Source organism: Homo sapiens, chromosome 20 (assembly GCF_000001405.40).
Source record: "Homo sapiens chromosome 20, GRCh38.p14 Primary Assembly".
Classification (NCBI taxonomy): domain Eukaryota; kingdom Metazoa; phylum Chordata; class Mammalia; order Primates; family Hominidae; genus Homo; species Homo sapiens.
The window spans coordinates 14,722,121-14,746,707 of record NC_000020.11 but is presented as its reverse complement, the minus strand read 5'-3'; the positions used below and the strand labels follow the sequence as shown (position 1 = coordinate 14,746,707).

Genomic DNA, 24,587 nt, shown 5'->3' with positions numbered 1-24,587 from the left:
AAAAGTATTCCCAAAAGGCCTCGACTAGTTTCAGCACTGGGGAAATTTGATTCATTATTTTACATTAGGCCATAAGAGATACAGTTATTTATCAAATAACTAAGCATGAAGGCAATAGAATGAAATGCGTGGGTGATATAGTTTCTATCATATCCTTACACATTACAGGCTATACACACAGACACAGACACACACACATACTTTCTCAATACAAACATCATGATCACAAAACGTAAATTTTTTAACCTTAGATAGTATAAGATTTACTTATTTTCTCTCCTTTTACACTAAACTATTTGGCAAGAAAATAAACCCTTAAAACAGGCACCAGAAATGTATTTTAATAACAAGTGATATTAAATCCCATTTTGATTTAAAATACTTTTATGTCAGCTCCTCTGAAGGAGAATATATTTGCCTGCAAACATGAGCGGTCACAGGAGAAGATAACTGCAGGAGTTCCTCTGTCAAGAGGTAAAGGGAAATTCCTGGTAGTGAAAAGTTGAAAGCAGCTGGGAGGCGTGAATGGTTATTTTAGTTGATTGAGTTCATGGTGAAGGAAACATTGTCATTCTTTCCATTCCCAAAGGAGTCAGTTAACTTTGTTGTTTTCCATGGAAATAAATATCACCTTCCTAATATGAGAGGAGTAGCCATGAGGTGGTAATTTGAGAGCAGCATTGGGGCGGGGTGTGGGGACTTCAGAGGTTATCTGGCCAAGTTGTCTTCAAACTGTTCCTTCAGAGCCCTAGAGATTAATATACAGCTCTCTGAGAGACCAGGAGGGACTGCATCCATATTCTTTAATTTTTCAGGAAATTTTCTGGTAGTAAGTTTTCATCAGAAGCAAATGGATCTTTAGTTTCTTTTCTACAAAGCTCTGACTTCAACCACCTGACTGAAGGGTCCCAATGAGGTAACACCTCCTCTCCAACATAGGACAGTAGCACAGCTACAGCAAGGCAGACTCTGGGTGGGGGTAAAATCGCCTGGTACATACAATGAGAGGCATTTATTGAGCACTAACAACCAGCCAGCAACTCCTACAAATGTTGTACATTAACTTATTAAAGCCTCATAACAACCCAATGAATAAGTACAATTATTGTCCCCATGTGGTGAAGTAAATAACCTAGTAAAAAGCGGAACCAGAATTGGATGGCTGAAAGTCTATATCCACAGCCATAGCCTTAACCACTATGATATCCATCTCTGAACATGTTAGAATGCCTAGGGAAATGTTCTGAGGCATGTCCTCAGTGCTGTAACACTGCCTCTGCAGGACACCCATCAGCCATGATATTCCGCAGCATTAAAACATGTTAGGTGGCTGCTTAGACAACCTCTCTTCTACCATACTCATATAGGCCTATACAAATATAGACATTTAGCAAGAAGTACATTCTCCTTTTCATTCAGAATCTATTCAAAGGGTAAAATACTTTACAAAAATATTTCTAACCTAATTTTTTTAGTTGGATATATTCTGGAGGATAAAGATTTTTAAAAATTGGTTCTGAAAAGTACAAGTCAAGGTACTCAATTTCAGTAGTTTCAGGATGCCCAGGAAGTCCCTAGTCCAATTTCTAGCCCACCTCCCTGAAAAACCAAAGGCAACAAATGATTCAGAAGAAATCTAATATAGGATAGCTAATGCTACCTCCTTATGATTGCTGGAGGAACAGTCATGTCTGAAATGCACCTTACAGCCTGAGAAAATAAATGCACTACAGTGGTTATCTATTGCTGAGAAACACATCATCCCAAAACTTAGTGGCTGAAAAAAACAAACGTTTCTTACTTCTGATTTTGTGGGTTGAGTGAGTAGTTCTTCCAGTCTGTACCAGTTTGGCTGGGGTTTGATGGTCTATGACAGCAAAACTCTCACGTTAGGGGCCTTAGCTGGGACCTCTCTACAAGGTATCTCATCCTCTAAAAGGCTAACTCAGGTTTCTTCAGACAGTGAAAAAGGGTATCAGCGACAAGAAAGAGCAAGTCGAATGCAAAAGCACTTCTTAAGCCTTTGCTTGAGCCATTTTTGACACTGTTCTATCAGCCAAAGTAAGTTATCTGGTAAAACCCAGAGCTGATGTGGGAGGGGCCTACTCAATGTGTGAAAATACAGATGTGAACTATGACCGCCATTTTCTCACAAGCTACTACATTGTAAGTTTTTAAAGTTAAATTCACTTAATATAGATGTAAATACTTGAAAAAAAGCTAAGACAGTGTATGTAAAGTGTTCTTGCCACAAACATGATAATTATGTAAGATAATATATATGTTAATTAGCTAGATTTAGTCATTCCACAAGGTACATATACTTCCAAACAATATGTTGTACATGGTAAATACATACAATTTTATACGTCAATTAAAAAATTTTTTTAAAGTAAACTGGGTTTTACCTGAAAACATAGCTTCTATGATCTTATAGCAAAATTTCTATTCAAAGAATCAAAAATCCATCCTATGCCCATGCAGCCTCTTGCATATATATACCTCACTTTATATCATAAATGTGTCTCTATTAGTGTATTCTGGCTGCTGTAACAAATTTCAACAAGTGTAATCACTTAAAACAACACGAATTTATTATCTTATTGCTCTGGAAGTCAGAAGTCCAAACTCTATTTGAATGATCTAAAGTTGAAGTGTGGTCAAGCTGATTTTTTTTCTGGAGTCTCTGAAAACAGCATCTATTTCCTTGACTTTTTCAGCTTCTGGTGTCTGCCTATTTTTCTTGGCTTGTGGCCCCTACTTCCATCTTCAAAGTTCAGTCTCTGGTCCCATCAGCTTATCACCCTCTCCTCTGACTTGGACCACCCCTGTGTCTGTATTATAAAGACTGTTAAGACTACATCCAGTTCTACCTAGACAATTCAAGATAATCTCCCGATCTGAAAGTCCTTACTCACATCTGCAAAGTCCATTTTGCCATTTAAGGAAACATTCACAGGTTCTGGGAATTAGGATATGGACATATATGGAAGGACATTATTCAACCTACTATCGCGTGTATTAATTTTCTATTGCTCTTGTAACAAATCAACACAAATTTAGTGGCTTAAACTACACAAATTTATTATTTTGGTGTTCTGTATGACATAAGTCCAACACAGGTCTCACTGGACTAAGTGTTAACTGGGACATTTGGGAAGAAACCATTTTCTTGTCTTTTCTAGTTACTAGAGTCTGCCCATAATCCTTGACTTGTGGTCGTCTTCCTTCATCTTCAAAGCCAGCACTGTTGTATCTCTGTGTCTTTTTTTCAGGCACATCTCTGTCTGATTAAATCACAGCAAGGTTCTCTGCTTTTAAGGACTCATATGATTAGACTGGGCGCACCCAAATAATCTAGGATAATCTCCTCATCTTAAGGTCCTTAACTTTCATCACAACTATATAACATCCCTCTAGCCATGTAAGGTAATATTCACAGGTTCCAGAGATTAGGGTGTGGACATCTTGGAAGGACCAGCATTCTTACTACCACAATATGTTATTGGAAAGCTGTGTCTAAGTAAAAATTCAGATCATATTGAATTTCATTGAAGAAATTAGCTATCTTTTAAAAAAATACATTTGAGTTTTATTATAGGCTTTCTTAATACCAGTCAAGCTTTTAAAATAAAGTTTATAGGCCGGGCGCGGTGGCTCACACCTGTAATCCCAGCAATTTGGGAGGCCGAGGCGGGCGGATCACGAGGTCAGGAGATCGAGACCATCCCGGCTAAAACGGTGAAACCCCGTCTCTACTAAAAATACAAAAAATTAGCCGGGCATAGTGGCGGGCGCCTGTAGACCCAGCTACTTGGGAGGCTGAGGCAGGAGAATGGCGTGAACCCGGGAGGTGGAGCTTGCAGTGAGCCGAGATCCCGTCACTGCACTCCAGCCTGGGCGACAGAGTGAGACTCCATCTCAAAAAAAAAAATAAAATAAAATAAAATAAAGTTTATATTACTTTTGAACTTTATGGTGCAGTTTTAATATTTGAGAGCTCTTTTCCTCTTTTCAATATTTTTCCTAGAATTAGTGTCCAGGGCTAGGAACCTTAGCATAGGAAAGCAATATATCAAGTCTATGCTTCAGATTTCAACCATGATTTTAACCCTTATTAAAAAAAAAAAGTAAAATTTTACTAGTACAGCTGAATTGAAAGGAACATACTTAGAAGTAACATAATGATAGTTTATATTAAGTACTATTCTCTGTCTTTCTCTCAAAACTAATAATAATCAAACCTAAATTTGACTGTTTGCATTTCCAGACCTTTATTATATATCTATTTTCTAACTCACCACAAATACAACTATGGAAAAATGGCTATATGTGACCATGACTCCATATTTCTGTAGTTTTTAAAATTATTAAAACTTTTCTCAGAAGAAAGCTCTGTTTCTCAGATTAGGAAATCATTTTCAGAAATTGTCTCCTTCTTTCTCAAACTATTGAAGTGGTTTCTCTCAGGATTCACACTCCATTTATCAACAACTGAATATTACCAGCCACAACCTCAGCTCAAAATTGGCTCTGATAAAAATTCTTATAAAATTTCTTCCAAAAACAGTTTTTATAAAAGGACTTAAATCCTTTATTCAAATGATTGAGCACAAAATTTAAAGAACGTTTTTCAGTACAGACTTAATAGTGGGCTAATGACACTTCTATCTGTGTTTCCAAATACTCTTGTTATATTCTTGAACTATCATTTTTCTCTCTTCATGACAGTAAAAATGTCTGGTATATTGAACTTCTATGAAAGAAGATGAAGAAGTGTATGATGACAGTAATAACTCTTGAAAGTGCTTAATGCATTTTTTTCTTGCCTAAAAAAAGTTTTCAAACAACTGCTTTAGTTTTTCTGATTTTTTTTAATCCAATGGGCTCATTTTAAAAAAACTGGGTGTGAATTTATGACCCCTTGTGACTATACTCATATACTGCATTCTTAAAAAGAAAATATTTCTTTGCCAAATAATTCCCTTATAAGCATCATACAACCTGTTGGACTAATGGAGAAGTTAAAATATGCATGGGAAATTTAATTTTTCAAAATTTATGTTAAGTAATTTTGATCATTCCTATATCCTGTCAATAGTGGAATTGCCTTTTTTCTTCTTACATAATGTCAGGATTGTATATAGTAGAATGATATCAGCAAATATATTTCATTAAATTACCTAACAAGTTAAATATACCTATTCTCATATTTCAGGATTGCATATAGTAGAATGAAATCAGTAAATGTACTTAATCATCATTCACAATTTATATCTAACACCAACCTCACAACACTGTTTTTAGAGGATGACCAATGTGGTAATAATAGCGCCAACATTACCTTCTCTGAGTTCTTAACACAATTAAAAAATATTACTGCTTATGAAACTAAAAATAATTTTTAGAAATCTGTAGGCAAGTGAACATGATGCTTGGTCTAAAGGAAAACAGAGTGCCTAAATCAAGTTGTGTATGTGCTGTAATAATTTTGCACATACAATATATGTGTGAATATCGATAAAAATAATTCAAATTCTGAACTTCTCCTCACTTGAAAATTAATAAACATTGGACTTTACTTTGTTAATGATGACAATATATAAATGACCGAAATGAACACTGTCCATTTTGTGTTAAAGCTTTTAAATGAATAAGTCAGATTAATTATTTCTGGATGATTTGCTTTTTTCTCACAGAAATCCAATATAATATTAAGATGCCTAGACTATTCTGGTAATAGACCAAGGTGAGCCTTCTGTCAGCACACACAAAGGAACTGAAGCAGAACTCACAACAGCACACACAACCCAGTATGCTAATCCCCAACAAAGGAGAAGGGCCCACAAAGGGCCAAGATGGCAGAAAACTCTCAAAAGAGGGCCCACTTCAGTAACAAGATTTTCTATGAGCTCATTAATATTTACCAAAGCCAAGAGACCTGGTTTTTTTTTAATCTTTCATTTAGCCACAAATACCTCCTTAAAATTATTCCTATATTGAGACAGCATTAGAAAAATAAACTATGCATATAAAGAAGCCTCAAATGAAAGATAAGCAGCTTTTAAGATAAGCTTGCTTTCAGTGTAAGCATCTGTACCCAGAAGACCATTTACACAAATTAGCATATTTTATCTACTGTAAAAAAACATGAAATAATTCACATATGCAAGATAGTTTAATTTAAATTACTGTCAGGGAATTCTTGAGCATTTTAGCACACTTCACAAAAATGTAAGTTCTGATAACCAAGGAAAAGATTTGCCACTTAAAAAGAAAACTAGTAGGAAAAATGTTTTCCAATTGCAAGCAGGGTTTTTTTGTTGAATTATTTAGTAGGGTGATAGAGAAATAGCATTGGAGACAGACAGACCAGCGTTTGAGTTTTGCATCTTACACTAGTTGTGCAGTGTTGAGTAAGTTACTCAATCTCTCTGAGCCTCAGATTTTCCATCTGTAAAATGGTTCATAAGACCTACCTTGTGTGATTTTAAGAAATTTAAGAGACTATGCTCAAAATGCTTAATATAATAAATAGCCCATTCTAAGCCTTTAATAAGCGGAGGAATTTTGGTTTTTGTTTCATAAAGTATTTATTTGAAGAACTTTAAAGAATAAAGATAATAGGAAACATACCCATCATCCCCCTACCCTGAGAAAAGCACTATCATTAATAGGTGAATATCCTTCCAGTTCTTTCTCTATATGTACATATAAGCTTGTATGCATGCTTTGAAAATTTTTACTTTAAAAATATAGATTCCTACTTTACATACTATCATCTCATTTGCTTCCCTATCCATGCCCTACCTTAACATACCATGAATGCATTTCCATATATTTAATACCATTTTATGTATTATTTTACAACATCATTTTAACTTCAATGGTCTTTTATTATGTGAATATATCAAAGTATTTGGAATGCTTCCAATATTCAGTCAATGTAAAAAAACAGTGTAATGTATATAGCTAGCTTCCAATAAGTATTTGTGTACATTTCTAATTTTCTTTTAACCCAAACATAATTATGACAACATCCCACAAACAAAAGCATTTATATATTTTTCCTCCCTTCAACCTGAAAACATGCATTTCTACAAATCCCACTTTTTTCTATTAATAGTTTTTAATATTTAATTTTTGAGTAGATAATACCTTTGTTTGTCTTATAAGTTGTTTTTATATAAACAAAGTGTAGACAGTGAAAAATCTTGCTCCCGTCCATGGTCTTATTTATCCACTTCCACCTCATCTACCCCACAGGTAACATTGTTATTAATATATATAATCTTTTATATTTTACCTTTCAGTATATAGGTGAAGATGAATATATGTAATTATCCTGTCCTTTTTTGCCAAAAAAGGTAGCATACAATATACATCATACATATTTTGCTTTCTCCACTTAATATACAGTTATTTCTAGATCAGTACTTAAAGAGATTTTTCATTCTTTTGTTTATGGTTGCATATTTGTATCATAATTTCTCATACTAGAATTCTAGAAGTAAAATTATGAGAGCAAGAGTAAGATTATTTTTGAAACTATTGATTCACATTGCTAAATTATTTCCTCCAAATGCTATACCAATTTAAAGTCCTAACAGCCATCAGCATATGATGGTATATATTTCACTTGATATACCTTACTTCATCATTCCTCTATGGAATTGAACATTATGATTTAAAGATTTTACAAATATTTTAAGTAAGAAAATGGTATCTCCTATTAATTCCACTTGTGTATTTTTATAAATTAGTGACGTGGAACTTTTAAAATTTTTATTAATTATACTTAGCAGAAATCTATTTCTATTATTTTCTAATTTGATTAAAGTATTAGTATTTTCCCTTCTGTTTTCCAATAGCGTACTCTATATTAAGGATACTTGTGAATTTTTTTATGTCATTATTTCTCTTTTAATTTTATTTGTGATGTTTAAAATTATTTGGAAATGGATTGAGTAGATATTTTATGTAAAGAACATATAATCTATAGATTATATGTTAATATATACATATACATAAATATATAATTTGCAGAAATAACAGACTCAAAGAAATTGGTAAATTCATTTATTCATGTATGCGTGCATTTGCTCATTCAAAATGTGTCAAATATCTATGTTTGCTAAGTACTGTTCTAAGCACTGACAGAGAAGAATCAGTTCCAGCCCTCCCTCACTTACATTTCAATGAGGGGAAAAATAACGGAGGGGAAGAGGCTGGAGACTAGTGGGTGAGATGAATTTTCATTTTACCTTTTTTGGTTTCAGATAGGGTAGGAGACATTGAAGGTGTCGGTTTCAAAAAGGACTGATTAGACCCTCTTGAAGTATAAGGCGATCACCAAATAGAAACAGCTTTTTTATATCACCAAAGTTGTTCTTTATGATCGGAAAGAGTGTTTTAATACTCTTTATTCAGACTTTAGACATCTTTTACCTTGCATAATATTTTTTGAAATTATTCTTTGTTAATTATATTTTGCCTTTTATAAATGTTTGCCTAAACAGCTTTCAGGAAACTGACTTTTAAAATACTCTCCTAAAATTCCAAAAACCAACCATTTTCATTCTCAAATTTCTATCTCAGTTCAAGAGATGAAAAAAAAAAACACTTGATAGAATATGTTGAGAAAAACAAAACAGTTTGCAAATTTCTGAAATATGTATATAGCAACTATTATCAGAGGTAAACACAAAACCAATGAGGACTGTGTAGAGGACATAATAAACAACTAACTCCTAGCATGTATTGCTATTTTGTTAACATCTGGCATAGGCCAGCTTTCAGTTCTTCCAAAGAAACTTTTTTCCTAGCTATAGAAAACTATCTATCCATCTGACAAAGGGCTAATATCCAGAATCTACAAGGAACTAAAACAAATTTACAAGAAAAAAACAACCCCATCAAAAAGCGGATGAAGGATATGAACAGACACTTCTCAAAGAAAACATTTATGTGGCCAATGAACATATGAAAAAAAGCTCATCATCACTGGTCATTAGAGAAATGCAAATCAAAACCACAATGAGACACCATCTCAAGCCAGTTAGAATGGTGATCATTAAACAGTCAGGAAACAATAGATGCTGGAGAGGATGTGGAGAAATAGGAAGGCTTTTACACTGTTGGTGGGAGTGTAAATTACGTCAACCATCATGGAAGACAGTGTGGCGATTCCTCAAGGATCTAGAACCAGAAATACCATTTGACCCAGCAATCCCATTACTGGGTATATACCCAAAGGATTATAAATGATTCTACTATAAAGACACATGCACATGTATGTTTACTGCAGCACTATTCACAATAGCAAAGACTTGGAACCAACACAAATGCCCATCAATGACAGACTGGATGAAGAAAATGTGGCACATATACACCATGGAATACTCTGCAGCCACAAAAAAGGATGAGTTCACGTCCTTTGCAGGGACATGGATGATGCTGGAAACCATTATTCTCAGCAAACAAACAGAGAAACAGAAAACCAAACACCACATGTTCTCACGCATAAGCAGGAGTTGAACAATGAGAACACATGGACACAGGGAGGGGAACAACACACACCAGGGCCTGTTGGGTGGTGGGGGCTAGGGGAAGGATAGCATTAGGAGAAATACCTAATGTAGGTGACGGGTTGATGGGTGCAGCAAACCACCATGGCATGTGTATACCTATGTAACAAACCTGCACATTCTGCACACGTGTCCCAGAACTTAAAGTATATTTTAAAAATTCTAAAAAAAAAGACAATGGTGATACAGATTCTGTTGTATAATTTTCTTAACATCTTCTAATAAAAAAATCAGGTCCAAGAAGTATCTATTTGTTTCCATTTTTTGCTGCAGAGACAATACAATGTACTGGGTAAGAGCTTTGGCTTCGGAAACAGACCAATTAGAATCAAATCTCTTATTAACCATGTATGTGATGTTATATAAGTCATAAACTTTCTGTGTCTTGGTTTTCTCATATTAAAATAAAAATATGAAGATTATTTCAGAGAGTCGTCATGATGATTAAATGGGCAAATCCATGCAAAACTCTTAGAATAGCACCTTGTGCATAATGAGTACGTTATCATTATCTATGATTATCACTGATATTAATGATATCACTGTTGTTGTGGAGATACTTCATGTAAATACATGAAGGATGTTTGGTTTGGTTACTGACTGATATATTTGAAAAACACTTTGTTTACTTTAGGTTTTTTAATATTTAAACTTTGCCATTTTGAAGTATACAATCCAGTGACTTTCAGTATACTTTCACAATGTTGTACAGCAGTCACCACTATCTAGTTCCACAACATTTTCATCACTCCAAAAGGAAATCCCATACCCATTAAGCAATCACTCCCCACTCCTGTCTCCCTCTGGCAATCACTAATTTGCTTTATGTCTCTATGGATTTTCCTATTCTGAATATTTTATATAAATGGAGTAACACAATTTGTGGCCTCTGTGTCTGGCTTTTTTCACTTAGTGTAATGTTTCTGAGGTTCATCTCCATTGTTGCATGTGTTAGTGCTTCATTTCTCCTTATGGCTAAATAATATTCCATTATACATATGTATATGAGACATTTCCTTTATCCATTCATCAAATGATGGATATATGGGCTTGTTTCTACCTTTTGGCTATTATGAATATTGCTGCTATAAACATTTGTGTACAAGTTTTTGTTTGAACACCTGTTTTCAGTTCTTTGGCATCTATATCTAGGCGTAGAATTGCTGGATCATATGGTAATTCTACATTTTACATATTGAAGAATCACGAAACTTTTCCACAGTAGCTACACCACTTTATTTATTTATTTATTGTTATTTATTTATTTATTTTGAGTCCGAGTCTGGCTCTGTCAACCAAGCTGGAGTGCAGTGGCACAATCTTGGCTCACTGTAAAACCACCTCCTGGGATCAGGTGATCCTTCCACCTCAGCCTCCCAAGTAGCTGAGACTACAGGCATGCACCATCATGTCCAGCTAATTTTTGTATTTTTAAAATAGAGACACGGTTTTGCCACATTGTCCAGGCTGGTCACGAACTCCTGGGCTCAAGCAAGCCACCCACCTCAGCCTCCTAAAGTGCTGGGATTACAAACATGAGCCACCATGCCAGCCTGGTTGCACCACTTTATATTTCCACCAGCAAAGTATGCAGGGTCCATTCAATTTCTCCGCATTCTCACCAACACTTGTTACTTGTTTTTTATTATTATTTGCCATTATCAGGGGTGTGAAGAGGTATTTCACTTTGGTTTTCATTTGCACTTCCCTAATGACTGACAGTGTGGACGCCTGTTCATGTGCTTCATGTGCTTGTTGGCCATTCGTATACCTTCTTTAGACAAATGTCTTTTCAAGTTCATTGTCTAATTTTTACTTACATTGTTTCTCTTTCAGTTGTTTAGTTGTAAGTGTCCTTTATATATTCTAGATAGACTCATCAGATATGACAGGCAAATATTTTCTCTCATTCAGTGGGCTGTCCTTTCACTTTCTTCATAGTGTCGTTTGAGGCACAAAAGGGCTTTTTTTGTTTTAATAACGTCTAATTTATCTATTAATATTTTTCTTTTATTACTTGTTGGTGTCATATGTAAGAATCCATCACCAACTCTAAGTCATGAAGACTTACTCCTATTTTTTTTCTAAGGGTTTTATAGTTTTAGCTCATATTTATATCATTAATCTATCATGAGTTAATTTTTGTAAATGGTATGAGGTAAGGGCTCAATGTCATCCTTTTGCATATGAATATTCAGTCATCCCAGTACTATTTGTTGAAGATATTATTCTTTGTCCATGCAATGGTCTTGATAGTCTTGTTGAAAATCAGTGGCCCATAGATGCATGGATTTATTTCTGGATGATAAATTCTATTTCATTGGTCTATATGCCTATATTCATGCCAGTACCAAGCTGTTTTGACTACTGTATTTTTGTAATATGTTTTAACATTGGGAAATGTGAACCCTCCAACTTTCTCCTTCTTTATCAAAGTCATTTTGGCTATGGAGTCAAAAGACTTTAGTTTTAATAAAGTTACTATTAAGAAAAAAAAAGTTGTTTTTTGGATGAAGACATAACAAGGCTCTGGTAGTTGTTAGTACCTTCCTGTTATTGGTTGTTTTTTTTTTTGCTTTTTTGTTTTTGTTTTTGTTTTTTTTGTTTTTTTGTTTTTTTTGATATGGAGTTTCACTCTGTTACCCAGGCTGGAGTGCAGTGGTTTGATCTCGGCTCACTGCAAGCTCCACCTCCCAGGTTCACTCCATTTTCCTGCCTCAGCCTCCTGAGTAGCTGGGACTACAGGCACCCGCCACTACACGTGGCTAATTTTTTTTCGTATTTTTAGTAGAGACAGGGTTTCACTGTGTTAGCCAGGATGGTCTTGATCTCCTGACCTCATGATCCGCCTGCCTCGGCCTCCCAAAGTGCTGGGATTACAGGTGTGAGCCACCACGCCCGGCCCCTTATTGTTAATTTTAATATAAAATATTTCTTGGACATTGTAAGAGTGAGGTCTTGGCTGAAAAAAAGGGTGGGGAGGGATATGTTTTCAGACTCTTTGACGGTTTTTAAGAAGATGTGTCAGAATGGGAGAAATCAGAGGGTAAGGGAGCTTAATAATAACTCTTTGAAATCAGTAATATAAGATCATTTTTGAAAGTGCCTACATACAGTATCTGATATTTTCTAACAAAAGTCCTGTGAAGTAGTCAGAGAACACACGATTATCCTCAATATACAAATGGGGAAACTAAGGCATTAAGAGGTTAAGCAATTAGCTCAATGTTGCACAGCAAATAAGTACTAGAGCCCCAACAAAATGCTATGTCCTTGGATTCTCAAGTCGGTTCTATTTTAGCTTGACAGGTCAACATCAGCCTTGGATAAACTTGGCTTCATTTATAATTTTACCCCAGTTTGGGGAAAAAAAACCCCTGCCTATTTTATAATGCATCAAAGCTTTTATAATTGCTTCTGCAGGTTCATTGTTTATTCCAAGTTCCCAGAGAAACAAATGTAAAATGCAGATGCCAAGCACAGATTTTAATTCTTCCCAGAGTTATCTGTGTGTAGATTTACCATCTATGAATTCATTTTTCTACACTCTATGCTATGCTGTAATTCTTCTCCATGTACTGATACATTATCAATTTCTTACTCTCCTTGCCCTCACAAAGTTTTTGTTTGATCTTTAAATTATTATTAACTATAAAATATTTTTATCATACAATTAACCAACATAAATGTTTATGTATATTCTGTGATTTAAAAACCTATGCAGGAAAAGGGTTACCTATAAGGAAGTACCCTGAGCTGCCTCTTATGTACCTGTTCACTATCACCAATCAAAGTATCACAGGAATATTATAAAATATAAAGGATGCAATTAGGAGAAGTATTATTTTTATTGTCCTTTGGAGGACTTATGCAATGTCAAAAAAGATAAACACTATGAATTTCATAGGTAACTAGGATGTGTCTAAAACTCCAAAGTCCATTGCAAGAAGAACCACTCAATCCAAGTTCTTTTAAAGCAGTGTGTTAAACAGTCTTGTTATAAATATGCATCAGGAAAAATGTACTCACTTTCATAAGAAAGTAGACATAAGAATTAAGAATTTCCCCTGAAAGCTTGGGTAATTAAGGTATAATACAAACTGAAATTCGATTTCAATTATCTTCAAGTGTGGCTATGCTATGTCTTTTATTCTTCTATTTGGTGAGATGACAACCTTGGTAATTGAATATTAATTTTCTCCAAGAAAGCATTCCAAACTCTTCTTCAAAGAGGGAGTTAAGCTTATTAATTCATTCCTTAACAAGAGGACAAAGTGCATGGCTTGCTGTATAAGAAATAAGAACTCCTAGGGGCCTAGAAGCTTTAATCAAAGATTGAAGGGGGAGAAAAAGTGAATGAGCCAGAAGGCAGAAGAATGTGAGGAGGTCACCTAACTTTTCAGGGGAAAAGAAAAAAAAATTCTTCACAGAGCTCAGCCAAAGTGAGGTAACAGAGCAAAGCAATCAGAAGGACAAATTCCTCCTGAGATACGGGCTAAAACATCGACTTTCCTTTATAATGCCACTTTAATTTCTGGTAAAATTCCAAAGCAAAGGTTTATGTTTCATGATATTGTCAACTTTGCATAAGAATACTTGTGTTACTCATGACTTACACGGCCTTAGGGACACTATTGATTTTTTTCCCCCTTCATAAATCTAAAAATGCTCTCTGCCTTCCCAGTGGACCCCTTATATTTATTGGTGTCTATCCTAAAACAACAGTTCAAGGTTGAAGTTATGAAAACATTTGGGGTTCTAATTTACCACAAAGAAAGTCCAAACAAAGATTACAGATAATACATAGCACTCAAAGTTTGCCCAAGAAATACTAGAAACACCTGCCCCCAAATACACACATGCTTTATTTTTCCCAATAGATGTTGCTACATAGGAACATTACAAAATGACGCCAGCCACAGTCTCCTCCAAAATACCTAAGAACTCTATACCTTTTCAAAGTCTTACTGGACTATAAATATTCCCTTTCTGTTGTATTAGAGAAGTCATTTTCAAACTTTTTGTTTGCAGAAGCCCCTTTACATTCTTAAAAATTAAGACCTTACAGTTGTGTTTCTATGTGTTATATCTATAGATATTTACCATATTAGAAATTAAGCGAGAATTTAAAAAATATTTAATTCATGTAAAGATTAACAATACAGATGAATATAAATTAACATATAAAAATAACCATGTTTTCAAAACCAAAAAATTTAGTGAGAAGAATGGCATTGTTTAAATCTTTGCAAATATCTTTAATGTCTGGTTTTAAAAAAAGACGACTGGATTCTCGTATCTGCTTCTGCATTCAATATGTTAAGGTATCACCTGTTATGTAGCCCTCTGGAAAACACCATGCATTTAAGAGAGAAAGAGAGTGAAAAAAGGCACATATCACTCATTAGTATTTAAATGAAAATAGAGTTGACCTCATGAACCTGGACGAAAGGGCCCGGGGGACCTCCAGAGGTCCCCACACCACACTTTAAATACTAGTGCTTTAGAATATCCCCAAATCATATAGAAATTGAAGCCACATGAAGGAGATAACTATTAGCAGACTCCTACCTAGCAAATAACAATGGCAGCACCATGCTATGGTTTTCATAACTATTTCTTCTAAATATATGTCCCACCAGTTATAGTTCTCTGAGTTCATTTAGGCAGAGATTGAGTGTCAGCACCATGTGGTACGTTGGAAGGGCTTCCTGGTCTTCTAAGAGATCGTGGATTCTGTTTAGAAAAGTAGATTCGGTGACATAAGTTTTTTCCTCATTAGAACGATCTCTATAATGAGGACAAATATGATGTGTTCTCTAATCCTGCATTATAGGGGCAGCATGAACTCAGGACAGGCACGTTTCCTCCCAGGTAGGCCAGCAAAGGTCTCAGTCTCATTCATCTCTTTAAAGTGTTGTTTTTGATGGATCTTTATATTGTTAAACATATGATTTCTTTTATTACCAGGATTGAGCATTATTTTTACATTTTTCTTGTTGGATTCAGGTAGGGCCTACAAGGTTATGAGCAGAAAATAGTTCCTGAAATTACAGAAGACAATATTTTTGATGCAAAATTAATGTATGTGTTTGTGAGTGTGTGTGTGCATGTGTGTGTGTGTGTGTGTGTGTGTGTGTGCTAAACCTGTTTGGGCAATACACAGCTAATTTCTATTATTTTAGAGTTTATTATGTAAAACATGCATACCTAATTTAACAATGTTTAAATGTAATCTGAATTCACCTCTGGAATAATAGAAAGATCTTTAAAAAAACACTTTAAACCTGATCTCCCTTTTCTCAGCTTACATGTAACTTTTGTCCAGTATTTTTTTTATCTGTTTTTGAATCTTATGAACGGATGCTATTATTGGTTTATACAGTCAATATTATATTAGATTTATCTATATACTATATATGTATGAATTTCTTTTCTCGCTATTTATTTTCATATTTGTGCCATCCTTTTAGGATTCTCTTCTTGAAGTGCATAACGTAGAAATTCCTTCTGGAAGGGTCTGTTGCTAGCAAATTCTTTGTTCTTAATTTCTTGAAAGGTATCTCTCCTTCTTTAAAGACAGTTTCACTGGGTTTATAAGTCTATTTTGACAGCTGTGGTTCCCAGCACTCTGAAGCTTTTATTCTAATGTTTTCCATCTTTCGCTAACGCCATGAGAGAGACCTGCCAGTCTAATAACGGTTGTTGGTCATGTGGGTGAGTCGTCCTTTCTCAGTGGCTGCTTTTACAATTTTAGTCTTGTCTCTGGAGTAGCATGATTGGGCCTCAATGTGTTTAGATGTAGATTTATTTTTCTTTTTCCTGCTTGGGATTTGTTGGTGTTCCTGAAACTAAAGATTTATGTCTTTCATTAATTCTGGAAAATTCTTACCCATTTTATTGTCAAAAACCAGTGTCCTCCGCTTTCTCTATGCTTTCCTCTGGAATTTCATTTGAATGTGTGCTAGGTCTGCTCACCACACCCTCCACATCTCTTCATCTGGCTCCCATATTTTCTACCTCTTTGACTCTTCAGGCTGCAATTGTTTAGATCTTCTAGTTTGCCAGGTCTTAATTGTTCATCCACGTTGTGCTCTTCAAAATTTATTATTTTATTTGCTAATTTTCTATTTGATTCTCCTAAAAAAATGGTTTAATAATTTTTTATAGTCTCTCACCTCTTAAGAACATTTAGTTCCCTTTTATTTTAATAAATGTAATGCAAATACTTAGTTACATTCTTACCTAATGATTCTAATACTATAATCCTACCTTTGCTGCTTTTGTGGATCCTAGATCATGGTGACTTCTTCGTACATTTAGTGCTTTTTTTCATACTGAGTTTGTGACCATTTTAACTTTATTCATAAAATTATTTTGTGATTTGTATTGAGAGTGTGTACCTTTAACAAGGACTCTCATTTTCTGCTATAAATCACCCAAGAGAACCTTAAAGTAAATATTTAGCTTGGGAGTTTTTGAGCAAATAAGTCGCATGAATGTGTGCCGCCAATCCATTAGATGGTGAGCTTGTAGTTGCAAACACTCCTCACCTTGCATGGGCCCTGGGCTTTGGTTCTTACCCCCACAGAGACGTTAAGAATTGCCCAGGTCAAAGGAGATCAATGTTCCCTTGTGTATTCAGATTCCAGCTCTCACTTAGTCCTTTGACCTTAGACAATTTCTTTATTTTCAAGCCAGCTAATCATATATCTTAAACAGTTATTGAGGATACTACATAAAATATATTAAGTGTTTTTCATGCGTGATAAAAGGATTGTCAACATATCTAGTCTAGTCAATCTTATCATTAGAAATGGAAGTTCTTGGTTTAAAGTATGTACGGTAGCATGCTTATGTGGAAATTCTGCTACTAGAGCATATCTGTATTTTAACTTATAATCATCTATGATATTTGTATAATTTGTTAAAGTCAGAATAACAGATGAAATTCATATAGTTTTATAAAGTGCTTTACCAAGCACTTTTGTGCCATTTATTTTAAATTGTATATGAAGGCTAGAACAATTATGTGATACTAAACAATTAAAATACTGCTCTCTATTTTCATTAGAAAATCCTAAGGAGACAAAAATTATCAGAAATTTATCTAATTGGAAGATGTAAACACAGGCATATTACTATGTGTTAAATATATAACCTAAATGTTTTTGCAGCTTTTTAGAATTTACTCTATCTAACCATAATGTTTATTTTAATATCTCTTGGATGCAAACACAATAGTAGAGATTAATCATACAGTTAACTTTATTTATGCTCATATGCAGCTTACATGGAGAGTTATCTGAGTTGACATTATTATAAGAAGCTTATAATAATTTATCAACTAATTTGTTTCTCATGCTTATCCTTACATTTTTCTATTCTTCCTTGTGGTATTACAAAAATCATGAATGAAACACTGAACTAATTTTTTTAAATAAATAAACTTTACAAAACTGAAATTACTGTATTGACCAGAATCATGACTTGGCATCAACTTCTAAATTATTCCAGAGATATCGGGAGCTCATCTCTGGCTGCAGTTGACACAAACAATAATGGTAAAATAGTGTCTCATATTCTGTAAGGTTTTTAAATGGAATCTGGCTTTAGCCAGAAGACAAAACAGACTTTAAAGAGAAGCACAGGTATTCAGTCTTTAACATTTAGCTATTACGTATGCTATATAAAATTGCATATCTTAGAACCAATATGAGAAGAATAAAGAAAATAATAATTCAAATAGGAAGTATTTAAGTCAGTTTATTTTTAAAGTACTTTCCAAAAAGGAATGTTTAAATTATAAGGACTTCGGTTTAATTCATTTGTTCACAGTCCTATCCACTTATGAATTAACACTGTAAAAAATATAAATTGCTACATCTTTAAGTGATTAGTATTACAGGGATGTGCCATAAGTAACTTTAAATTAACAGAATACTTCATTTTCTTCCGATCTGAAATAAAAAACAAAACTAAAACTAAAATGCAGACATATAAAATCTAGTACTAACTTTCAGGACATAGGAGCTTGACATTTTAAATAAGAGAAGAAATTACTGGGTCATAATTTTTCTCTGTGGCTCTAGTTTAACATAGAGATAAGTGGAAACAGAATTCTGGGGCCAGTAAGTTAAGCAACTCTTATTCTTGAAATTCATGGGCTATGAAAGGATTGCACAAGAGCCTTTAAATCCCCTCCAGTAGGATTTAAAATAGTCACTAATATAAAGTAGCCAGGAAAAGTAATAATAATATCTCAGAGTGAAATGGGACTGGAAAATTCTTCCATATGGGAAAAGAGTTGGAAAGAGCTTCCAGGAGCAATCCCTTTCCCTAAAGGTGGAATATCAGATTCTCCTGTGTTATGAAAGTAATCTTGCAGATCTACCTGGCATCAAAAATCTTACTGAGATCAAATGACGTAACATATTTGAAATTCCTTTGAAAATTATGATTAGTTACTTGGTATAGCAGGCAGGTAACAGCAAATGAGACTGAAGAGACAGTTGATAAATTACATTTGGGGAGTGATAAAGTAACTACTTTGTTTCTTCTCTCTCTCTCTCTCTCTTTCTGTTTTGAGACAGGGTCTCACTCCATTGCCCAGGCTGGAATGTCATGGAGTAATCATGGCTCACTGCAGCTTCAACCTCCCAGGCTCAAATGATCCTCCTACCTCAGCCTCCCAAGTAGCTGTGACCACAGGTGCATGCCACCATGCCAGGCTAATTTTTAAATTATTTTTTTGTAGAGACAGGGTCTCACTATGTTGCCCAGGCTGGTGTTGGACTCCTGGGCTCAAGTGATCAATCCACCTCAGCCTCCCAAAGTGCTGGGTTTACAGGCATGAGCCACTGCCTGTATTTCTTGGAGAATATCTGGATCTATGGCTTCCTTTCCAAAGTACAAAGTACTGGCTGGCAGACTTTTCTTCCATAGCCAGATTTTCAATGGAAGTTTACTGGTAAGAGTATTTCTGGTATCCTGCATGCTTTTCAGCCTAATGATAAAGCATAGGAATTCACAAAAAGGCAAAACTACATTGAACAAATTGTATACACTTTAGACTGTATAAAAAATTAGTCACCATATGGTTTAAACCATATGAAAGAGATTTAATAAAAAGGAACCTAAATTTTTTCAATTATAAATAAGACTGCTGATGGGAGGGTTTTTTTTAACCTCTGGTAAAATGATTTTTAAAGTGGATTTATGGAAAAAGTAGTAAACACATCATGTGTGTGATTTTTTCCAAGTAATTCATATAGTCAGGGATAAGATCACAGCCTATTACTGCCACATAAGCTGTGTAACAGCTGTGTAAGAGTCATCTGAGGAGAACAGAGCTGGAGGCAGGTGCCTGGGTTTGAATCCCTACTTTCGTACTTATGAGATGTGAACTGAACCAGTTTCCTAACTTGATGCCCGAGTAGTTAAAAGCAAGACAATAATGCTACTTAAGCCATAGTGTTGTTTTGACGATAAAATTAGCTAATTTTGTAAAGTGATTAGGGCAGTGTCTGGCATATTATAAGCACTAGGAAACATTTTACTATTTCCATTATGGCAGAGAGATGAGGAAACCAAATCAGAGTTTAGCAAACCTAAGTCTTGATCTCAGTATCGACACTTGCTCAGATAAGAAGCTTAAAAGCAATTCAGTTTCGCCTGTGACACTAATCGCTTCATTCGTTCTGATCCCAGGAGTTAGGATCAAGTGATCTCCTGTGTACAAGGTGCCCTGAAAAGCATCAAGCGTAACCTTTGATCCCTTTGGGAGAAAGGCATTGGATTTCAAGGTACTGTATGGTATGAATTCTTATTCTAGTATTTCAAAATATCAAGGTTATATGTGTTCATCTTCATATTTGATGGTGTCACATTTAATGATGTCTTTGGCACTCAAGGAATATGCCTTAAAATTTATTGCTACTTTCAAACAAGAATATAAGGAGAATTACTGAGCCATTGGTTAATATGCTTCAATGAGTTCATCACATCTTTTGGTATGACCATTATGAAGAATTTTGAATTCTCTCTTGTTTTAATAATTCATTTTTATCAATTGGAATTTCCTTTGTTCCTATAATATTTCAATGAAGAAAGGTATAATGATGAGAGCCAGTCACGTAAGGGACATGATAACAGGAACCACTGTCAGATCTGCTCAGCACCTGTTCTAGCACACACTGTGGGTGCACACACTGTTTCCTGTGCAAACAGCATCTGCAACCCCTAAGGGCTTTTTCTTGGCCCATATAGAGCAGCCCCAAAGTGCTGAGGAGTTCACTCACCAGAGAGCAGCCCTCAGTTAATGACAAATGGGGGTTGGAGGATGAATACATCTATGTCCTCACCCTCTGGGGCGGCTACTCTGAGGCATATTCTATATTGTTTCCCAGCGGTCACCAGCAGAATGGAGCTTCAGTTTTTTGCTGGTAACCTGCTTGAAAACACAAGCTTTGCTGGCTTCCTCTCCTTCCATTGCCTCACTTTCTACTTCCGTACCAGCACTTCCAGGGACCATCTCTCAGTCTCCTTATCTCAGTGTTCTGGGGAAACACACATAATATATCAACATTTATAGAGAAGCTACTATATATGAGCATGCTAAGGGCTTCATATTCTATTTTTCTTTCTAGCTCAGTTTGCATGCCTTCTCTGTCTCCTTTGCTGATTTCTCTTCTCCCTGATGTCTAAACACTGGTGCACTACACTATTCATTCTGGGGAAGCTTCTTTTTTCCATCTCCATTCTCTGCTTAGGTGATCTCATCCATTCTCAATACTTATAAACCAATGACTCCAAAATTTATATTTTTATCCCTGACTGGCCCCCTAACTCCAGATTCACATTTTCAAGTGCTACTTAATACCCTGAAGTAGCTGTTAACAAGGCCAAGAAACAACTCTTGTTATCACTTCCAAAACCTGCTTCTCCTCCCTCTCGTATCTCAGGAAATGGTGTTGTCATCCATCAGTTGCTCAAGCCAAAAACCTAGGATTTGTTCTTGATTCTTCCCATCCTTTCACTCCCCATATCCAATCCATGAGCAAGCCTGTTGACTTCACCCCCAAAACATACTCTGAAACTACCCATTTGTCTCCATCTCCAGAAGTACCACCCTCATCTAATCCACTACTATTTCTCATCTGGGCTATTGCAGTAGCCTCATAACATGCCTTCTTTGTACATTCCATTCTCCACACAATATCCCAAGTAATATGTAAAAAAATACTAAGCAAGCCATGGTGCTTCCTCCTCACAACCTTCCAGTGGCTCCCAACATACTTCAAATAAAACCCCATCTCCTTTCTTGGCTTACAGGACTCTACAGTTCCTGAGCCTGTCTTTGTCTAATACCTGAATGACTTTCTCCTTAGATGATCATGCTCAAGTCTCACTGGCCTTTTTGCCTTTTACTCGAATATAGCAAACTCATTCTTAGCACAGAATTGTTACCATATGTGTTTCCTTTGCTTGAATGCTCTTCTCTCATTTCCTTCTTAAAGCCCCAGCTTAAAAATATCCTCTGCAGAAAGGATTTCATAAACTATTGAACCTAATATAGTGCCCAATCCTATTTTATCAGAGTTGTTTCTACTGCTTTTTCATGCACATTTACTCATGTTGCTTATTTCCTTTCAGTAGAAGTCAAAAATAGGAATTTTCTCTTATGGGGCATCCCTACCATTTACAACATAAACTCACACATATTGGGCCTTTGATAAATCTTGTTGAGTAAAATGGGTGATGGGAACTATTATTATCCCCATTTTAAAGGTGATGAAACGGAGCTTTAAGGTAGTTATGAAATTTACTCAGTCAAATAGAGGCAGAGATTGATACCCAAATCAAATCAGTCTTACCCCAGAGTTCATAATTTTAACCACAACACCAAACTTCCTCTACATATGAGTGGGAAAAAAAAACACCTTAGTCTGAGAACTTAGTACATTCATTTTTACAGAGTATCTGTTTAAAAAACACTCAGCATATTTGAATGTCTCAAAATTGAATGTTACAAAACATTCATAGTCCTTAAGAAATAAATCTTAATTTTTATGCTATGTAGATACACCAAGAAGTAAGGAGAGCAAAGCTATCTTAGTTCTTATCCTCTGTATAAGCCTCCTAAGAGATACCCAACAGTGTAAACAACAGAATACAATTTTCAAACCATTTCTCACAGGAAAATGAAAAGACTCCAGATTACAATAGAACATAATTCATTTCACATGGAAACCACTAGAAGAGTGGTCATGTTCAGTAAGGTTTCTTTTACGAGAATGAAACTCCATTTAACACATACGTATGCAATCTGAAATCTGAGTCACAATGGCCCACAGACCAAGGGATATGACCAGATACATAATTTTTGTGAAAAGCCGAATAGCACCAAATAGAAATAATTATAAAAATGTACCACCAAATGTACATGAGGAAACTCAGCTAATATTACCCAGGAGAATTCAACAGGCATTTAAAGCAAAGTCTTTGAAAATTATTTAGATATGTTTTATAGAGACTCTAGCACACTAGATGAAAAGTTCCAGCCAAGCTTTCTAAGAAACAGCACATTTAGTCACCTCAAAGAAGAAATCCGAGGGATAAAAAAAATACCAAATCTTCATCAAGAGAAGATAAACATATATTTTAAGCCCAATAAAAATGAAACAGGAATATTAGCTCTCCTGCCAGATTCCAAAGCAGTGACTGAAAATGGCACAAAGACACGTTAGTCAATGTTTTATCTCTTTTTTCTCTTTTCTAGTCCCCTCATTTCCAGTGAATAGAGCTGCAAAAGGTAATAATCAAAAAGGATATATAAGAATAAACAATCTGAATCATGCTCCTGATGAGAAAACTGCAGCCCAGCTAACGCGTGCCAAAGCAGGGACTTGATTCCAAGCTCAATAATAGTCTTTCCATCTTACCACACAGTCACTACACCAAGGAGATAGCACAAAATACATATTTTTGTGTATGTGCTGGAATGACAGTGGAATGTAAAGATCAAATTTAAGCCACTTAAAGTTTAAAAAGCTGAGAATTAAAAGAGAAGTGGGGAGGTGTTTGGGTTACAGATTTAACCTGCAAGGTGGTCTGACAAGGGAGTGGTTCCACCAAATATATCTGGTGGCCATGATCAGAGACCAAAGTCAGATTAATATAAGCTGACAAGTCATTTCTTACGATCTTATGTTATTATAATTATTTTTTTGTCTGATATAAACATTATCTATCTTTGGCAGAAGATAAAGTCAGACATCACTCAAAGAGATGGCTATAGAGAAAGTGCTACTAAGAAGCAGAGACAATACCTTTTTGTTTTTGTTTTTTGTTTAAAGAATTTTATTAGCTTTGTTTCATTACATTTGGGAACCAATATAGGTGTCTAAATTGGCAACTAAATTCTACTTGAACTTAAAACTTAGGATTGATGAGAAGATACAAGGGCTACATATAGGCTGTTCCATATGTATTTCAATAAAAAAGCAAATAATGATTATAGAATTATGTTTAAAAACCATTTACTTACTGCTTACTATGTGAAAAGCACAGGAAGTGCCAGTGATAGAATAACAGCTGCAAGACTAAAGGAAGAAGGAGAGTTTGAACAAGTGGGTGTGAGGAAAGTACAGGGGGAAAGAAAAACGTGTTCAGGGTCTTTGTGCCACATGCCCTGTCAGAAACCTAACCTAGATTATCTGAGTTAACCTCTTAATAATACTACTGGAGGCTCCATCATTGTTCTCAATTCTTTACCTCATCCCCATATCTATGCCTTTTTTCCCAATGACATTGTAGTTCCTCCCACTAGGAGTGGACTATATTTCCCCACTCTGATGATGTGACTTTCTGAGGCCAAAGTGGACACTGCGCCAGCAAAGCCTTGAATTGCACATGTACATTCAGATTTTCTGCCAAGCCCATGAGAAAAACAATCCTTATCTCTCACTGATCATCAAAAAATGAGAGTCTTATGAAGAA

At 35.2% G+C, this 24,587-nt stretch overlaps 1 protein-coding gene across 3 annotated transcripts in view; it reads right to left on the bottom strand.

Annotated features, from left to right (window-relative positions):
* MACROD2 (mono-ADP ribosylhydrolase 2) overlaps window positions 1–24,587 on the bottom strand; it is a 2,057,682-nt gene that overhangs the window by 1,306,490 nt on the left and 726,605 nt on the right. The gene's annotated exons all lie outside the window — the stretch shown is intronic.